General features: G+C 47.7%; 1 pseudogene, besides 5 other annotated features; it reads left to right on the top strand.

The window, feature by feature from the left end:
- Positions 1445–2644: an enhancer, noted in NCBI's record as "BRD4-independent group 4 enhancer chr20:4055096-4056295 (GRCh37/hg19 assembly coordinates)". NCBI's record gives its function as "activates an origin of replication core promoter dependent on BRD2, P300/CBP, MED14 and CDK7 cofactors, and independent of BRD4, by STARR-seq in HCT116 cells {active_cell/tissue: HCT116}" and the evidence as "EXISTENCE:reporter gene assay evidence [ECO:0000049][PMID:35650434]".
- Positions 1737–2031: an enhancer, noted in NCBI's record as "tiled region #12382; HepG2 Activating non-DNase unmatched - State 20:ReprD, and K562 Activating DNase matched - State 5:Enh". NCBI's record gives its function as "activates a minimal TATA promoter and a strong SV40 promoter by Sharpr-MPRA in HepG2 and K562 cells {active_cell/tissue: HepG2 | K562}" and the evidence as "EXISTENCE:reporter gene assay evidence [ECO:0000049][PMID:27701403]".
- Positions 4642–5141: an enhancer, noted in NCBI's record as "H3K27ac hESC enhancer chr20:4052599-4053098 (GRCh37/hg19 assembly coordinates)". NCBI's record gives its function as "activates a minimal SCP1, AML or CMV promoter by ChIP-STARR-seq in primed H9 embryonic stem cells {active_cell/tissue: H9 hESC(primed)}" and the evidence as "EXISTENCE:reporter gene assay evidence [ECO:0000049][PMID:30033119]".
- Positions 5142–5643: an enhancer, noted in NCBI's record as "H3K27ac hESC enhancer chr20:4052097-4052598 (GRCh37/hg19 assembly coordinates)". NCBI's record gives its function as "activates a minimal SCP1, AML or CMV promoter by ChIP-STARR-seq in primed H9 embryonic stem cells {active_cell/tissue: H9 hESC(primed)}" and the evidence as "EXISTENCE:reporter gene assay evidence [ECO:0000049][PMID:30033119]".
- Positions 12960–13848: an enhancer, noted in NCBI's record as "H3K27ac-H3K4me1 hESC enhancer chr20:4043892-4044780 (GRCh37/hg19 assembly coordinates)". NCBI's record gives its function as "activates a minimal SCP1, AML or CMV promoter by ChIP-STARR-seq in naive H9 embryonic stem cells {active_cell/tissue: H9 hESC(naive)}" and the evidence as "EXISTENCE:reporter gene assay evidence [ECO:0000049][PMID:30033119]".
- RPL21P2 (ribosomal protein L21 pseudogene 2) lies at positions 16941–17492 on the top strand (annotated as a pseudogene).

The raw sequence follows: 17901 nt of genomic DNA, 5'->3' as shown, positions 1-17901 counted from the left end.
AGGCAAATCCCATTTGTCAGTATAAGGTGGCTTATTAGGGGCAACTTATAGACAGAAGTCTGGTCTTGGGCCACCACAAGACAGGTAGATCTCTACACCACACCTCCCCAGGCAGGGGGCTTACATCTTGGGGGAAAAGTATACGTGCTCTGAAAGGAATGTGTAGTTGGCTATGAGTGTCACAGCCTATGACTTCTGCAACAGCATCAAGAGCTGTTTTGGAGGAAACTTACAATCATTAGGTGTTTCCACATAAAGAGTAATACATCAGCTAGACATGTTGGAGGCATTCCCGGACTTGTGGTTAGTCACTGGATTAGCATTTAAAATAAAGCCTCTCTTGTCCCCACAACATCGAAATCAATAAATTGGAATTCATCAAAATGAATAAACTTTTCTCTACAAAAGGCCCTCTTAAGAAGATAAAAACACAAGCTACACCTAGGAAAAAATATTTGCAGACCACGTATCTGACAAAGGATGTGTATCAGAATATAGAAAGACTCTCGAAACTCAACAGTTAAAAAAAAACCAAATAATCTAATTAGAAAATAGGCAAGAGATATGAGGAGATATTTTATCGAAGAGGCTATACAATGGCAAATAAGCACATGAAAAGATCCTCGACATCATTAGTCTTTAGGAAAATGCAAATTAAGACCATGATGATATATCCCTACACACCTATTAGAAGAGCTAAAAATTAAAAATAGTGAACATATCGAATACTTGAGAGGATGTGAAGGAACTGAATCTCTCACCCATTACTAGTGAAAATATAAAATGATAGAGCCACTCCGGATAATGGTTGAGCAGTTTCTTTAAAAACTAAACATAAAGTGACCATACAGCCCAGCAATGCACTTGTGGGCATTTATCCCAGAGAAATAGGGCTATGGCCACACAAGTACCAGAATGGAAACAACCAAAATGTTTTACAATAAGTGAATGATTGAACAAACTGTGGTATATTTACACCAGAGATTACCACCCAAAATTAAACTATTGACACATGCATCAACCTGGATGGATCTCAAGGGCACGAATCTGAGTGGGGAAAAGAAAATCACGAAAGGTCACATACTGTATGCTTCGATTTATATAACATTCTCAAAATGACAAAACTATGGAGAACGCATTAGTGGTTACCAGTGCTTAGGGATGGTGGGGAGAGAGGAGGGTGAGACTGAAGGAGTTGCAAGAGAGAGATCTTGATGGTGATGGAACAGTTCTGGATCTTGGCAGGGTGGTGGTTACACAAACCTGCACAAGTGATAAAATAACATAGAACTATACACACATTGTATCAATGTCACTTCCCAGTTTGGGTGTTATATTATAGTTAATTAAGATGTAATCTTTGAAGGAAACAGGGTGAGGGGTTCATGGGTCCTCTCTGTACTATCTTTGCAATTCTGTGAATTTCTAACAATTTCAAAATTTAAAGTTTTTTTTTAAATCAATACATGAACATTCACAGTGGTGACAGCCTCGGTTGGGTTTGAAGACTGGGTTGGGTTTGAAGTTCTGGATTGAGAAAGGAGTAAGCCTATTTTGGTATGTGGGGAGAAGGGGAAAGGAATCAGAACAGACATAAGTTTTGGCTGTGGGTTGCAAACACTTCTTCCTTCTTGATGGCAGGAAGTCTCAGGCAGGCTGCAAAGACCTGGAAGCTGAAGACTCCAAGGGGGAGCAGAACTGCTGCGACCGCTTACACTGCAGTTCCTGGACCCTAGGGGCCTCCCTACCCCACTGTGGGATTCTCTCTATCCAGAACACAGCTGGTGCCCTGGGGTCATGACACCCCAGAAACTCATCTGTTCTGGTCTTTGGCAAGTCTGCAGACCAACTTTGACCAATAGAGAACTAAGGCAGCAAGTTTTCCAGTGTCATACAGATAGACAATTGCATCAGAATAGAGACACGTGACTTCTGAATGCGGACTGGAGGAGATGAGGATGGAGGGCTGGGAGGATAGTAAGAGAGGGAGCAGGGAGACCAGTTACGGGCCACTGAAGTAGTCAAGGTGTCAGACAAGAGCTTTGAGACAAGAGGACTCGTCTTAGAGATAGATTGCATGAGGGCCATGAGGGTAAGGGAGGTGTCCAAGCTGACCTCAGCCTTCTGGCTTGTCCACTGGTTGGATGGGGTCACCATTTTATTGTAATGGCGGATACTGGTTGCAGAGAACTGAGTGTTGGAGGACCATGAATGAGTTCCATTTCAGATCTGCTCAGCTTGCTGTCCCTGGGAGACAACCACAGGAGTTGTTTAGGAGACACCGGGCTACTTCAGCCTGGAGCTCCAGGAGGAGGTCTGCATTGGTCGTTGGGACAATAGGACCAGGCAAGTACATGGAAAGAATGTCAAATTCCATCAGGCATAAAAAGAACAGTTGAACTCAGGTGGTAAAGGGGCAAGAAGGGAGGAGTGGTTTACAAAATTCCAAAACAGATGATCAAGTCAGAGAGAGGTAGTCAAATAATTGAGCATGGGGGTTGTTAAAGTGACATTGGTTCTTGCTGTCACATTGACAGATTAGAGAGGAAGTTGAGAGTCAAAGCCATCCGCTGAAAACATACAGTTAGTAAAAAGTGCGTGGCTCCCAGGCAGTTGGGTGACTTTCCACAGCTTCTCACCTTCCCAGCCAGATTGTGCCTCACCCCCAATCCCAGAGCCTCCTTTATAGAAATTCTGGAGCTGTAGTGCCTCTTCTCACATCCAGCAGGGAACCATGACTCAGGGCTGGGCAAACTGGCACAAAAACCCTTTGGTTCATCCAAGCCAGCTGTCCCTGGGTCCCAAGTCTCTTTTGCGGATCCATTTGCATGCAATTTGCACTTTGCTACAAACCTTGGCTTCCCCTTTAAAGGGCCAGTGCCTCTCTTTCCCATCTCATCCTCATCTCTTAACCAGTCACCAAGAAAAGTGGGCTCTGATGATGAAAAAGAAGCAGGGGGGTCCCTACTCAAAATTCATTTGTTGGCCAGATACCGTGCTCACACCAGTACTCTGGGAGGCCAAGATAGGAGGATTGCTTGAGGCCAGGAGTTCGAGAGCAGCCTGGGCAACACAGTGAGAGCCCGTGTCTCTACAAAAAATAAAAAAATAAATTAGCAGGCATGGTGGCATACCCCTATAGTCCCAGCTACTCAGGAGGCTGAGGCAGGAGGATCACTTGAGCCCAGGAGTTTGAGGTTACAGTGACCTATGATCATGCCACTGCACTCTAGCCTGGGTGACAAAGCAAGACTCCAAGAGTGGTTTACAATGTTCCAAAACAGATGATCAAGTCAGAGAGAGGTAGTCAAATAATTGAGTATGTGGGTTGTTAAAGCAACATTGATTCTTGCTGTCACATTGTCTCTTAAAAAAATAATAAAAATAAAATCCATGTATTGAGAGTCCAAAATTCCTCTATGGAAGCACAAGCTGCCTTTGAGAACTGGAGGATATGGATATGTCCTGCTTCCCTCCATCCCCAAGAACAGCTCATAGAAATAGGAAAGGGGTACACCCCCATACCCCTAAGTCTTCCAGACTAGAGACTGAGCTGGTGGCATAGGGGAAGGACTGGGGTCTGAGGACCTATACTCTCAGCCTAGGAGCCAGCTCCTTAGGGAAGAGCCCAGAAATTAGAACTCCCTGCAAGCTCAGATGGAGTGACCTGTTCATAAAGCACATGGCCAGATACTAAAGTTCCTTAATAGATGAACGGTGAGTCCCACTCCCTGACCTGGGAGGCAGGAGAGGCCTCATGTGACCACAATTTGGGGACTGGCATTGCCTTGGCTTCATGGCACAGAGGAGACCCACACACACTCCTTCCCCTGCCAGGGAGACTCCAGGCTGAGAAAAGGACAAGTCCTCAGGTTTGAAGATGTCTCCTCATCAAAATACTTCTACATCACTCTTCATTTTATCCTTGACACACTAGCTGAGAGGCTGCCTGGAGGGTCCTGGGCCCTTGTTTTAGGGCACATAAAAATGAAGACCTCATCACCAAGGGAAGGCCCCTGCATCAGGTCTAACTAACCTGCACCAAGCCACGCCGCACACCAGACCACTCCAGCTTGACCACTGCTCCTCTGCCCAGACCCTTGATGAATAGTGCAGTCTTCTGCAGCGACTGCCACTGTTACAGCTCCACTGGCCCCGCAGCCGCCACACAGATTCCTCCAGGGATCCTCAGGACTCAGTGCACCAGAATCTCAAGGTTCCGTGTGTGTGTGTGTGTGTGTGTGTGTGTGTGTGTGTGTGTAACAGAGGAGGCATGGCTGCATTAACCCCTGTGGTCATCAGCCAATATGGCCCCCAACGATTCCCTCCTTCTTGTACCGTTTCACACTGACACCATAGGCAAGTTTTAAGTGCTTTTTTTCTGCAACTCATCTCAGCAAAGATAAATATCATTGCCTCTTATTCTAGGACATGGCAGGCTGCAGGACCCCAGTTGCACCAAACTGCCATCCCCTCCTGCCTGGTTTCCCTTCTTCATGAACCGATCAATGGGCCATAGCCAGGTTGGGATGCATGTCTTCCACAGGATGGGAACTACCTCCAGCTGATCAGGTACATGGCCTTGGAAATCATCCTACACTTTAGAGTCAACAAAGGCTGTTCCCATATGTGCCCCGAGCTCCTCCAGGTTTCTCCATCCTATGGACACAAATGAGGTGGCATTAACAGGGAAAACACACTTTATGGGCTTTTGCCCCCGTCCACAGACTAAGGGTGCTCCAGGGCCCCTCGATTTATCCCAGTTATTTCTGAATAACTGGGATATCTTACATCTGCTTAGCACGGGTCCCCTCCTAGAGAGCTATGGCCTTAGAAGCCACTTGGGGGCAGTACCTCACCACTGCCCCTGCCAGAGTGCCCTGATGACCAGCACTATGGACCCTCCTAAATTCCATCTGTTCTCCCCCTATAGCCTCCAAGTTGGCAACCTGAGACCGTAGTAGGTCTGCGTATCACGCAGAAATGGGAGAAGGACCCTTGTAACGGATTCTGTTGGTGCCCTGCCCAGATTCCTCTCCTTGGCCACTGCACCCACCCACCAGCTATTGCTAAGATCTCCCCCAAAAAGTAATTGACACAGAGGTGCAAAAAAATCTGTCCTGCTTACCCCAACGGGGGACAGCTCAGTGGCCGATCCACACCCCAGAGCTTCCCCTGGATCAGGCTGAAGTCAGACCCCAGCTGAGACCACTTCATGCTTAGCATCTTCCCTGCCCTGGCCTGCTTCATTCCCTCCCTCTTATGTCTCTCTAAGAGTACTCGCTCAATAAATCACCTGCTCAAGAATCCTCAGCTCAGCCTTTCACTCTAGAGAAGAAAACATACCCTTCTTCCCAAGTTTGTGTCTGGAACCCTGTCCCAACCTTGCTTCGGCCTCAGAATCTCGTGAAATCAGCTCCTGCTTCTGCCTACAACCCTCTCTGTGTGCCCTGGGGGCAGTTACATGGAGACCCGATGAGAGAACAGACACCCCTCTGTGTTTCTCCACTACACTCCTCATTCCACCCTTCTCTCCCCCAGGAGCCCACCCACCAGCCACCGCCTGAGCCCTTTCCCCACTGCAAAGCTGCCTTCCTGCCAGATTCCACCCCCAGGACTCCCACTATGTATGGTGAATGTATTTGACCTTCAAAACCATTCTGTTCCATCAGTATTAAGTCTACTATTTTTTCTAGTGGAGAAGCCAGAAGCAATTTACTGCAAAGCCAATGCAGCTTAAGCTCACTTGCATGGGCCCCTTCCAAAGCCCTGCAATTTCGTAATCATAGTTTTTATTCTTCTGCTTGAGGAGGGCTCCCAAATTGTATCAGCCTCAGGCCCCATAAAACCTAACTCTACCCTTGGAAAAATGGAAGCTCTGAAAGGTGAAGTGATTTGTCCCACGACACAGGCCTGATGAGCAACAGAAGCAGAAGTTGACCCAGGTTTGCTGCCTCCCAAGTTCTTTTCCCGTCCTCCATCCTATGATCCATCCCTGCAACTCCCCTGGGCCTACTGCAGCAGCCTCCAGGATCCAGCCCTTGGCTTCCCTCTACCTCCAGCACATAGCCTTCCCAGTTGCCAGCCATCAGCCCCTCCTCTGCTCTGGCACAGTATTGTGGGAGCTTGGCAGGCCAGAGTGGGTTTGGCAGAGCTACATTTAAATATCAAGGTAGAAGAGTGTCTGCATGTATACCATCAATGGATGCAGACACCCACAGAGCCTATGGTAGCTGCAAGTTGCCCCTACATTTGCCTGTGTTTTCTCCATCAGCTGAGTAGCAGGCTGTTAGGATACCTGTCTTGGGAGCACTGCAGAAGTTAGACTGTGTATCAGTTAGCTCTTGCTGTGTAACAAAACATGCCAAAACTTAGTGGCCTAAAACAACAACTATTGATTTAGCTCACAGTTCTGCAGGTCAGCAATTTGGGCCATGCTCTCCTGGGCAGTTTGATCTCAGCTGAGCTCCCTTTGGGCATATGCAGTCAGCTGCCAGGTTGGCTGGGAACTGGAGTCAGCTGGTACATCTCATCTCTGTTCCACAGAGTCTCCCATCCTTCAAATCAAGATCGTCTGCCTGATGGCTTGGCAGAATTCCATGAAAGCAAATGGATTTGAGCAAGGCCTCTTGAGGCCTAGGCGCAGGACTCAACAGCTTTACTGTCAGCACATTCTATGGCCCAAAGCAAGTGACAGGCCAGCCATGATGGTTAATGTTGTCATCTTAGCTGGGCCATAGTGCCCAGGTATTTGATCAAACATTATTCTGGATATTTCTGTGAAGGTGCTTTTTCTTTCTTTATTTTTTTTAATGCAGTTAACAGTTCAGTTGGGGACCTTTGAGTAAAATAGATGACCCTCTATTAGGTGGTTGGGCCTCTTCCAATCAGTTGACAGCCTACAGAGAACAAAGACTGATCTCCCCCCAGCAAGAAGGAATTCTCCAGCTGAATGCCTTTGGACTGAAATGACAACTCTTCCTTGAATCTCCAGCCTGCCAGCCTACTCTGCAAATTTTGGACTTACCAAGCCTCCATGATTACATGAGCCAATTCCTTAAAATAAATGTCCTTCTATATATATACACATCCTGTTGGTTCTGTTTCTCTGGAGAACACTGACTAATACACCAGCCCAGATTCAAGGGGTGGGGAACACACTCCACCTCCTGATGGGAGGAATGGCAAAGTCACATTGCAAAGCATGAGGGCACAAGGAGGGGACTAACACAGTCACCTCTGCTCATGAGCGACCACAGGCTGGCTTTAGGAATGGGTGGGTGTGGGCAGGGTAACCTGCAGCTCTTGGTGTCCACCTTTGAGCATCGAGCTTCTGCTGGGCCAGCCAGGTGGAATTCCCAGTCATCTCCACCTCCTTTTTGGTATCAAAGACTGGGAAGAAAACTGTTTCCACGACTCTGTGAGCAGAAAGGGGGGAACCTCACAACTGGATTTGAGAGTATGTCTTTGCCCTCAAACTAGGGGCTTCCTGAGGCTGTGCTCTTTTCTACCATCCAACTCAGGACTCAATGTAGAATGGAGGCTGGGCATGGTGGCTCTGGAAACTCTAATACCGGCATTGTGGAAGGCTGAGGTGGGAAGATCACTTGAGGCCAGGAGTTTGAGACCAGCCTGGGCAACATAGTGAGACTCCCAGTCTCCACAAAAAAAATTTAAAACTTAAGTGTGGTGGTGCATGCCTGTAGTCCCAGCTACTCGGGAGGCTGAGGCGGTAGGATCACCTGAACCCTAGAGCTGAGGCTGCAGTGAGATAGGATCCTGCACTCCAGCCTGGGTAACAGAACAAGACCTTGTCTCTGGGCAAAAACACGAAAAACCCTATAGGCTGGAGGAAGCGTTTTATTCCCCCTACAGGACCCAACAGGTTCTGAGAGCAACCAAATGTCTAATTCTCCCACGTGTCCCCCAAGATTGTTGACACTCTAGCTGGGACATACGGGGCCCCCATAAGTAATTCCTAGATGAACACACACAGCCTTCAGTGCTGAGGCCTGAGACATCTGCTCCCAGCTATGCAAACAGTCCCACGTCACAACTAACCATGCAAGGGGCAGGGGGCTCAGACTTGCCCAGCCCACCTTTCGGTCCTCTGGACTGCCCTCCATGCTGGCTCAGTCCTGTTCTGTCTACCTCTGCTCAGCACGCCTTCCTCCCACACAGCTTGACAAGTTGGCCACCTCCCAGCTCCCCACCCCACCCTGTCTCCTGCTTACCCTCCTCCCCATGCTCTGCGAGTCTTACATAGTCTTACACTTGGTAAGAAGCCAAGCCTTGCCACATGTGCATGTCCTGCAGGCTTCCCTTCCTGCAGGTATGGCTTTGGGCTCTGGACTCTGGGTAGACCCAGGAAGTGGGGGTCATCAGGGGAGACAATGTAGCAGGCAGGCATGTAGGGCAACCAGAGTCAGCCTATGAGATACCAAGGGCAGGTCCTCTTATGCCCAGAAGATTCATAACAACGGCATAAAAAATAGTGGAAGACCCTGGACCCACATGCTCTGAGCTCCAGCCCCTCATTGTCACAAACTGCAGTGTGATTTGGGACTGTCACTTTGCTTCTCAGTTCCCCCATCTGTCAAGTGGAGATGATAACCATTGATAGTGGATCCTATAGGCATCCTGCTCACTCCTTGAGGCCTCACCACCTCAGGGAGCTCCCGCTGCCTTCCACCTGTGAATCTGCATGTCTGCACCTGAGAGCTTTCTTTCCTAAACTGCAGAAGGCCAGGCAGCATGCTGGAAGTGCCAGGGAATTAACAACCCTTAGCAGAGCCCTTCTTCTAGCTATAACTCACAGGAGTTGATGGATAAATACCCCAGCTCCCTCACTCCTCAGGCAAGATAACTCTGGGGCACGTGTTCTACTCTGATGCCCAGATTTCCCCCGCAAGACTGAACTCCAGTTGCCCACAGTGGTAACTAGCTTGATAATACACCCCTTGTGGGCTGCCTTCCTTCCCCATTTCACAGAACTACTTGTGTTCAAAGCCTTGTCTCACGGTCTGCCTCCAGGGCAGTCCAAACTAAGACATCATCCCAGCCCTGTCGCAACACCATTAGCCCGTGTGTGATCGAGATGATGGCAGAGGCTACCAGCAGGTGTTTGAGCCCAGGGCTGGGTGAGGGTCTTCCCAGCCCTTATCTCTACTCTGGACCCACAGGAAACTCCACAAGAAAGTGTCAGAGGATGTTGGTGGGACTTCTTCTGTTGTCCTGGAATGGCAGCCAAGGCCTGAAACTGAGGTCAGGAGATGCTTGGGACCCATATTCTAGAATGAGCAACATGTGAGTCACCAACAGCTGAGTGCCCAACTCCTCCTTTAGTGAGAGGCAGTGCAACCTGCTCCTCCATGCATTCCACCCAAAGAGAGGACTGGGGAGGGGAAAGGCGGGCCATAGTGAATTTCATTCTCCAGGATGACAGGATTTCCCTCTGTCTCCCTGAAGCAAGGGATGAAGGGATTCCGAGCTAATCAGAGGAATAGTCAATGTGCCCAATTGCACATCCCTCCAGACCAGGCTTAGACCTTTTGTTGAGACCAGCTAATTCTGTGTCCTGTGCATTCTACAATTCTAAGTCCCTCCCTTCTGTCCACTATGATGACCAACAACTGGGCTCTCATCGTCTCCCACCTGGTAGCTCCAGCAGTCTCCTCTCCAGCCCTTCTGCCTCTCTCAGCCTCTTGTCTGTTCCAATCCATCCCTCTAAAGTGGATCTTTCAAAACCAGGCTGGCAAACTACAGCCCATGAACCAAACACTGCCTGTGGCCTGTTTTTGTGTAGCCTATGTGCCATGAATGGTTTTTACAGTTTTTACATTTGTTTTTAAACAAAACAAAGAAAACTGTGTGACAGAGATGTTTGCCAGCCTCTGTTCTAAAGCATAAATCTCATCCTGCTTAAAGGAGTGGCCTCCCTACCAGCCTCATCCCACACCATTCACCCCTACACACCCTAAGCCTGTCCTCTGTGTCTGATACACCCTCCCTCCCTCCCTGGTATGCCTGGTCAACTACCTACACTTTCACAGTCACTCTAAATATCCCTTAGGCCTAGGCTTATTGGCCTCACATCATGCTTTGACTGCCCCTGCTCTGAGCTAGAGGGCAGAGGTTGGCCCCCGCAGGTTCCTGTATAGACTGGATGACAGCTGATTTTGACCAAAAGGTGGAAGATGAAAGAGCAGGAAGAAATGAGATTCTTCCAAGAGTCTCTGACCCTAGCTGGGTCTATCCAGGGCTCCAAGCTCCCAGTAGGTACATCCACCATGGTTCCAGTCCTAGCAGGTGGTGATCTGAGAGCTCCTCACCGCTCTCCTCATCCTACCCAGGGTGATTGGTAACAGCTTCCTGCTGTTGCTAATCTCTGGGTTGCATCTAAGTAACTTCTCAGCTCTTCCATTACCCACGTAACCCATTCCCTGCGTGTCATTACCCCTCTTTAAACATTGGCTTTTGGCTTTTGTTTTCCCCGTAGGACTCTGACAAATATGCCTTTTTTTCAGGTATCCCCTGACCCCTAGATTAGCTCAGGCCCCTACTACTGCCCAATGACATCGTTCACTCATTGCTTCAATAGGTTATTTATTGGATGCCTATGGCCAAGGGTCAGCAAACACAGCCAGCTGTTTTGTAAATAAAATTATATTGGAACACAACCACACCCATTCATTTACATATCGTACAGTTGCTTTCAAAGGCAGAGTTGAATAACTGCACCAGAGACCCACATGTGGCCCATGACACCTAAAATATCCACTCTCTTGTCCTTTTCAGAAAAAGTTTGCCAGCCCTTGTTTTAGGTACCCAAAATGTAGTCCTGGGACCAACAGCAACTTCTTCACCTGGGAGCTCGTTGGAACCACAGAATCTCAGACCCACAACGAGACCTGCTGATTCGGAGTCTGCATTTTTACAAGGTCCTCAGTTGATGTGTGTGCACATTGAGGTGTAAGAAGTGCTGCCTTAAGAAGTCACCCCCTTATCATAGCTCTCATCCCATTCATTGGTCATCATTAACAAATTAATTTTTTTGTCTTCCCTTCCAGAGGCAAGAGCAAGGATTATTAGTGTTGGTCTTCTTCGGAACCCCAGTGCTGATAAGTTGGCTGGCCCAGAGAAGACGAATGCAGTGACCCTCTGACAAATATATTGTTGAAGAGAGTCATGGAAGCTGAAGGAAGAGAGAGTTTCAAAAACAGCAGTTACCGTTTTTCACATATGAGACTGGCAAAGATAAAAAAGTTTGTTAACACACGGTGTTGGGAGAGCACAGGAAATAGGCTCTCTCTCACATGTTGTTAGCACAACCTCTCTGGGGAGGTAAGTTTGGCAATATTCATCAAAATTACAAATGCACAGACTCTTTGACCCTGCATTTCCACTTGTAGGCCTTTGCCAAGTGATTAATATATGTACTGCACAAGAGCAAAAGGTTGGACAAAACCAAGTATTCATCAACAAGGAATCTGCTTGGTAAGTTGTGGTGTATAATAAAACTGTGCAACTTTAAAAAAGAAATCCATCACTGAAAAATATCTGAAAAATTAAAAAAAAAAAAAAAAAGAAGGAGCCAGTGCAATCTCCAAGGTACGTTGCATAATAAAGAAAGATGTGTACTAGTACACATCAGATAATAACCAAAACAGGGCAGGGAGACAGAAGAGGAACTATATATTTGCCTGTATATTCATAAAATGTCTCTTAAAGGATGTACACAAAAAAACAACAACACTGGCTGGCCATGGGAAGGGATGGCTGGGTTGCTGGGGGCAGGGATATGAGGAGACTTTTCACTACCTACTCTTTGGTACTTTTTGAATTAAAAACAGACTGGGGAAAAAAAACAGGAAAAGCTACAGAAAATACAAAATGTGTACAAAAAAAATACAGAAACGTACACACACAAAAAAATAGAGGAAAGTAGAGGCATGTTTTAGACGTCCAGTCTAGAACCTTCCTACTCAAAATGTAGTCCACAGACCAGCAGCATCAGAATCACCTGAAAACTAGTTAGAAATGTAGAACCCCAGGCCCTACTCCAGATAAACTGAGTCAAAATCTGCATTTTTAACAAGAGCCCCAGGGAATTAGCGCAGGCGTTACTAACTGTGACACACCGATCCAGGCAACCAGAGAACTCACTTGTAGCAGCTCCACCTGGTTTCCATGGTCTGCTACTAATAAAACAGCTGCCTTTCCCCCCTAACTGGGGCTCTGTCCCGGTGAGACATCAGGGCCCAGGCTGTTCCCATTAAGGGGCAGGTTTCCAGCAGCTCCTCCCAGGCCCTGGCTGGCCCGAAGCCCAGTGCCCTGGCGGGTCCCCAGCCAAGGAGACAGCTCACTTCCTCCTTCTGGAGCCGCTGGGACTGCTCAGAACGGAAACATTGGAGAGGTCTCCACTCCCCCAGATGTAAACTCTTTCCAACACGAATAAAGATGTATGTGTCTGGCTCAGGTTTATTTATAAATGGTATTTATCTATCTGCCAGGACCTCTGGGTACCTGGTACCTGACCTAGTGGTGGAAGAGAAGTCAGCGGAGGGGTAGCAATGGGCAGGCCCCATTGGAGAAGGAGGGAGAAAGAAAGGCCAGGAGCTGGGCTGCTGCCTCTGCATCCTTGATCCTCTGGAAAAACTCCAGGCCACATCTGGAGGCCACATCTGGAAGCAGTGACTCTGCTGGACTTTTCAGAGCAGCAAGAAGGAGGAGCGAGGGAGGAGTGGGGAGCTGCACTGACGTCGGTCCAGACCACCCAGGACTTTGCAATTGGAGGACTAGGCAGGGAGACTAATTTTCCCACCACCCGACTCCCAACTCTCTGACCCCAAGGACTGGGCAAGCACAGAGCCAGTCATGACTGAATGCCCCCCACTGCTGCTGTCCTGAACTCCCCATGCCTCAAGCCGGAGGGACTCTGTACAAGCCAAGCCCTCTCTGTTTCTGGATCCTTCTATTCCCACGGCCTCCTAACAGTTGCAGCCTCTCCCACAAACAGAACCCCAGGTCCTCCTCTTCTCCCTTCACATTTCCTCCTAGGTCCCTCATCTGTGTGGCTAATGTCTCTTCAATTTAAAACAAAACCATAAAACCACTAAAAAGTGTACAGTCCAAAAGAGTTTACAAAATGCTTCGCCACAGTGAGCCCTATTTCACTCCCTCCCAGCCCTGCAAGGTTCGCATTCCTACCCCTACTCTGCATAGCAGAACACTTAGTGAGTGCAGGAAATGCTAATGGGCTTCACAAGACCTTTCAGCCTGTAGGTAGCAGAGGCCTCTGGACTCAGGTGCACACCTGGGCTGCCGTCTGCCAAGGCCTCAAGGCCTTCTCAGTGCAGGACTCCACATCAGACAGGCCTTGATCCCATCAGCCGCCTGCTGACATCTCCAGTTCTGCGAATGGTTATGTTCCTTGCCTGGCCCACAGGCCCCAAATTCAGATACCTATTTCCTCCCCATCCCCTCTATTGTTCGCCACCTCAGGCCTACCCCATCTCAGAGTCTGGGCAAACATCCTATCCCTATCTTCCCAAACACTACTGTCATTGTTTCCCAACCAGCCCCCCGTCCCTGGGGCTTTTCTCCTAGTATTTCATGTTCCACAGCTGCCCTCAAACCCTCCAGGATAGACTAATTACAAAAGTGGCCCCAATCCCCAGAGTTCAAGGCCAGCCTGGGCAACACGGCAAGACCCCACTCTACAAAAATAAAAATTAAAAAGTTAGCTGGGGCATGGTGGTATGCCTACAGTCCCAGCTACTCAGGAGGCTGGAGTGGGAGGATCACTTGAGCCCAGAAGTTTGAGGCTGCAGTGAGCTATGATTATGCCACGTGCTCCAGTCTGGGAGTGAGAACTTGTCTCTTAAAAAAAAAGGAGGTGGGCCACAGTGATTCCTCTTCCTGTAACCACACCCTTTGCAGTGTGACTTTGTATCTTCTCCCATCAAAAGGCACAGTCTATTCTCCTACTCCTCGAATCTAGGCTGGCCTCATGAGTTGCTTTGGCAGTTCAAATACGGTAGAAGTGAAGTGGTAGAATTGCCCATTCTGAGCCTAGGCTTCAAGATGCCATATGCATTTCCTCTTCTCTTGGAAATCTGTCTTGCCACCATGTAAGTAAGCCCAGGCTAGCTTTCTGGAGGATGAGAAACCATGTGGCCCAGGCACCCCCATTGGCCCAGCCAACAGTCAGGCCAACCAACCATATGATGAGGCTGTTCTGAATCCACCAGCCCCTCCACCCCCTGCCAATCAGCTGACTGCAGATGCATGAGGAAATTCCATGATCAGCTAAGCCAGCCCAGACCAGAAGGACCACCCAGCAGGCCCATAAATGAGTAAGAAATAATAAATGGTTGTGGTATTAAATTACTAAATTTTGAGATGGCTTGTTGCACGGTAAAAGCAAACTGGTACACCCTTTGTCCTCTATTCACAGAAGTCCTCTTAAGGACTTCTGAGGCAAAATTCTTCATATTCAAACCTTCCTAAAGAAGTTGCTCTCTCAGTTTCATTTCCCACAACTTCTCCGAAACCTGGTTGCCACAACGTCCCCTGAAATCTCTTGTTCTTTCCATCCTCAAACCTTTGTTTATATAAGTCTTTCCTCCTCTCATTGCCCCTGCCCCTACCCTGAATACCATCACCCTCCTTCCTCCACCTCTCAAAATCATGTCTTTAAATCCCTGACTGTGGGTCTACCTCACTGTGAAGGGTTTCTTGTTCCAACTCCTTTGACACACTTAGTCTCAAACTTTGCTCTAATTTGCTGTGCTTGCCAAAGAAGCACTTAATCATATCTTTATCCTGCCTTGTTTTATCCTGCATTGGTTCATTATAGACCAGGAAGGGCAGCTAAATTTGACCTCATATGTCTCCGCAGACAAGTTAGTAGAAAATGCCTAGAGAGCATCTGGCATCTGCTAGAAAGACTGCCATGATTGATTCATAATGTCTGCCATAAGCACAGGCAGGTCAGTACTGGCCATTCCTGATCTAGTGCAGGGATTCTTGCACTTTTTGTATTGTTAACCTTATAGACTCCCTCTAAGAATATTTTTAAATGCATAAAATAAAATATATCAGATTACAAAGGAAGCCAATTACATTGAAATATTGTTATCAAAATATTTTAAAATGTGTAATATAAGAATATATATGCTTTAGGCCAGGCACGGTGGCTCACGCCTGTAATCCCGACACTTTGGGAGGCCGAGACGGGTGGCTCACCTGAGGTCAGGAGTTCAAGACCGGCCTGACCAACATGGTGAAACCTCGTCTCTACTAAAAATACAAAAATTAGGTGGGCAAGGTAGCGGGCACCTGTAATCCCAGCTACTCAGGTAACTGAGGCAGGAAAATCTGAGATCACGCCCATTGCGCTCCAGCCTGGGTGACAGAGCAAGACTCCGTCTCAGAAAAAAAAAAAAAGGAGAGAGAGATTTATGTGTTTCTTCCTTAATACACTACATACCAAGATATCTAACAGAGGGCCTAATAATTACTGCAATCTTGAAGTATAAATGAGCTTTCAAAATATCTATAACTGTCATGTGATGTGAAAATATCTGTGGCTTCTGCTGGTGACAAAGACTCAGCTCTGTGGTTTGTTGCCTAAATCCATAACTGAAGGTAGTGCTCAATTTAATTTAGAGCAACGTATAGATGTCATTTTTTTCAACTAAGTTTTATTGACCCTTTTACACTGTATCTGCAGGACCCTAAATTAAGAACCCCTAGTCTAGCCTGTAATATACTTGAAAAGCAAGGGCTGCTAGCAAATTATTTCATAACCTTGAGAAGGATCAAGGCTGGACCACAGTGGGTGATCAGGGGTGATGTAAAATAGTCACCCCTGTGACTATGCAGAGGCTGCAGGGCAGGAGGCGGTAAGGATTTTCACTGCACCTTTTCTGCTCCATTCGGTGGCCTCATCAGTTTCCTTCCTCTCACAGGAACAAGGCCACGGCACCTATTAGGAACCTCATCCTTGCATTCCAGGCCCAGGGAAATCCCTCCAGGCCCCCTTCCTCCCTGTGTCCTGGAACCTGCTGTCCTTCCCACTGTCTTGCTTGGGCCTCTGCCCAGCCCTGGAGAAGCAACATGGCAGAGCCTCTGCCAGCTCAGCTCCCTTTCCAGCTTCCCCCTCCTTTAGCCCCACACTGGAGTAGGGGGGCCAGGTCTCCTCCACCCCCTATCCTTCCCAGGACCTCAGAACACCAACCCTGGGTGCCTTGTTACCTAGATATGGAATTCAGCCCAATCCTTGCAGTGTCCCTTTGAAGTGGAGACACCCCCCTCACATTAAAGATGAATGTGTTAGACACATTTGGGACACCACTTCAAAAACCTCTTGAGCAGATCTCTTCCTCCAGCCAGTGCTGAGCTGACCCGGGGCTTCTCCACTACAGCTGGGTGGGACACCCAAGGGAACATGCTTGGCCGTCATGCACGAGCAGCCCAGCAATGTGGGAGGAACTAAGAAGCTGTGGGATGTCCCTTGACCAACAGTGGTGAGAACCAGTGAATAATGCTTCTGCCTTTTGTCCCCCAGCAGGGAGTTCTGAGACATTTCAGAAAACTCCACGAAAGGCTGTGATGGCCCCCACCTCCAGACACCCATAGATAGCACTGGCTAACTTGGTGTCACATCTTGTATTGGCTCTCCCTCATTTCTTGATTCAATGTCCCTGTCCCTCCCTCCTGCTCCCCAAGATCACGTTCTTAAATAAACTACCTGTTCACAAGCCTTTGTCTCAGGTTCTGCTGGCAGGCAGCAGGAGGGGCGGGGCGAGGAACCAAGCTAAGAGAACAAGGAACTAAGGATCAAAGAAGTGAAGTCACTTGCTCAAGGCCACATGGCGTGTAAGTGTGATCTATTTGATTTGATATATTTGATCAAATAATAAACACACATTTAGCTTTCGGCTGGAGCCGCCATCTTCCAGTAATTCGCCAAGATGATGAACACAGAGGAAAAGAGGAGAGGCACCCGATATATGTTCTCTAGGCCTTTTAGAAAACATGGAGTTGTTCCTTTGGCCACATATATGCGAATCTATAAGAAAGGTGATACTGTAGACATCAAGGAATGGGAACTGTTCAAAAAGGCATGCCCCTCAAGTGTCACCATGGCAAAACTGGAAGAGTCTGCAATGTTCCCCAGCATGCCGTTGGCATTGTTCTAAACAAACAAGTTAAGGGCAAGATTCTTGCCAAGAGAATTAATGTGCATATTGAGCACAGGAAGCACTCTAAGAGCCGAGATGGCTTCCTGAGACGCGTGAAGGAAAATGATCAGACAAAGAAAGAAGTCAAAGAGAAAGGCACCTGGGTTCAACCAAAGCGCCAGCCTGCTCCACCCAGAGAAGCACACTTTGTGAGAACCAATGAGAAGGAGCCTGAGCTGCTGGAACCTCTTCCCTATGAATTCAGGCATAATAGGTGTTAAAAAAATAAAAGACCTCTGGACTGTAAAAATGTTTCTCTTCGTTGAGTAGAAGTGTGGTGTCCTTTCCCCCAAAGAAATATTTAAAGCAAATTTTAATTGTGTCCTAATTCATTATGTAATGTCTTTACTATTCAGATTTAATGTATTTCTTGCTGAAAGACGTTAAGTAGCTTTTTGTGCAACAAATTACTCAATTGGTAAGAAAATGGCCAGGTATTATGTATGAAAGTTTCGTACTGGTTTGATGATAGTCCCTCTAAGTCATCAAGGAAGAAATAAAATAATTTACAAATAAATAAATAAGTACACTTTTTTTTTTTTTTTTTTTTTGAGACGGGTGTCTCGCTCTGTCGCCCAGGCTGGAGTGCAGTGGCGCGATCTCGGCTCACTGCAAGCTCCGCCTCCCGGGTTCACGCCATTCTCCTGCCTCA

This window comes from Homo sapiens, chromosome 20, assembly GCF_000001405.40.
Source record: "Homo sapiens chromosome 20, GRCh38.p14 Primary Assembly".
Classification (NCBI taxonomy): Eukaryota; Metazoa; Chordata; class Mammalia; order Primates; family Hominidae; genus Homo; species Homo sapiens.
This window is presented reverse-complemented; position numbering and strand designations above follow the sequence as displayed.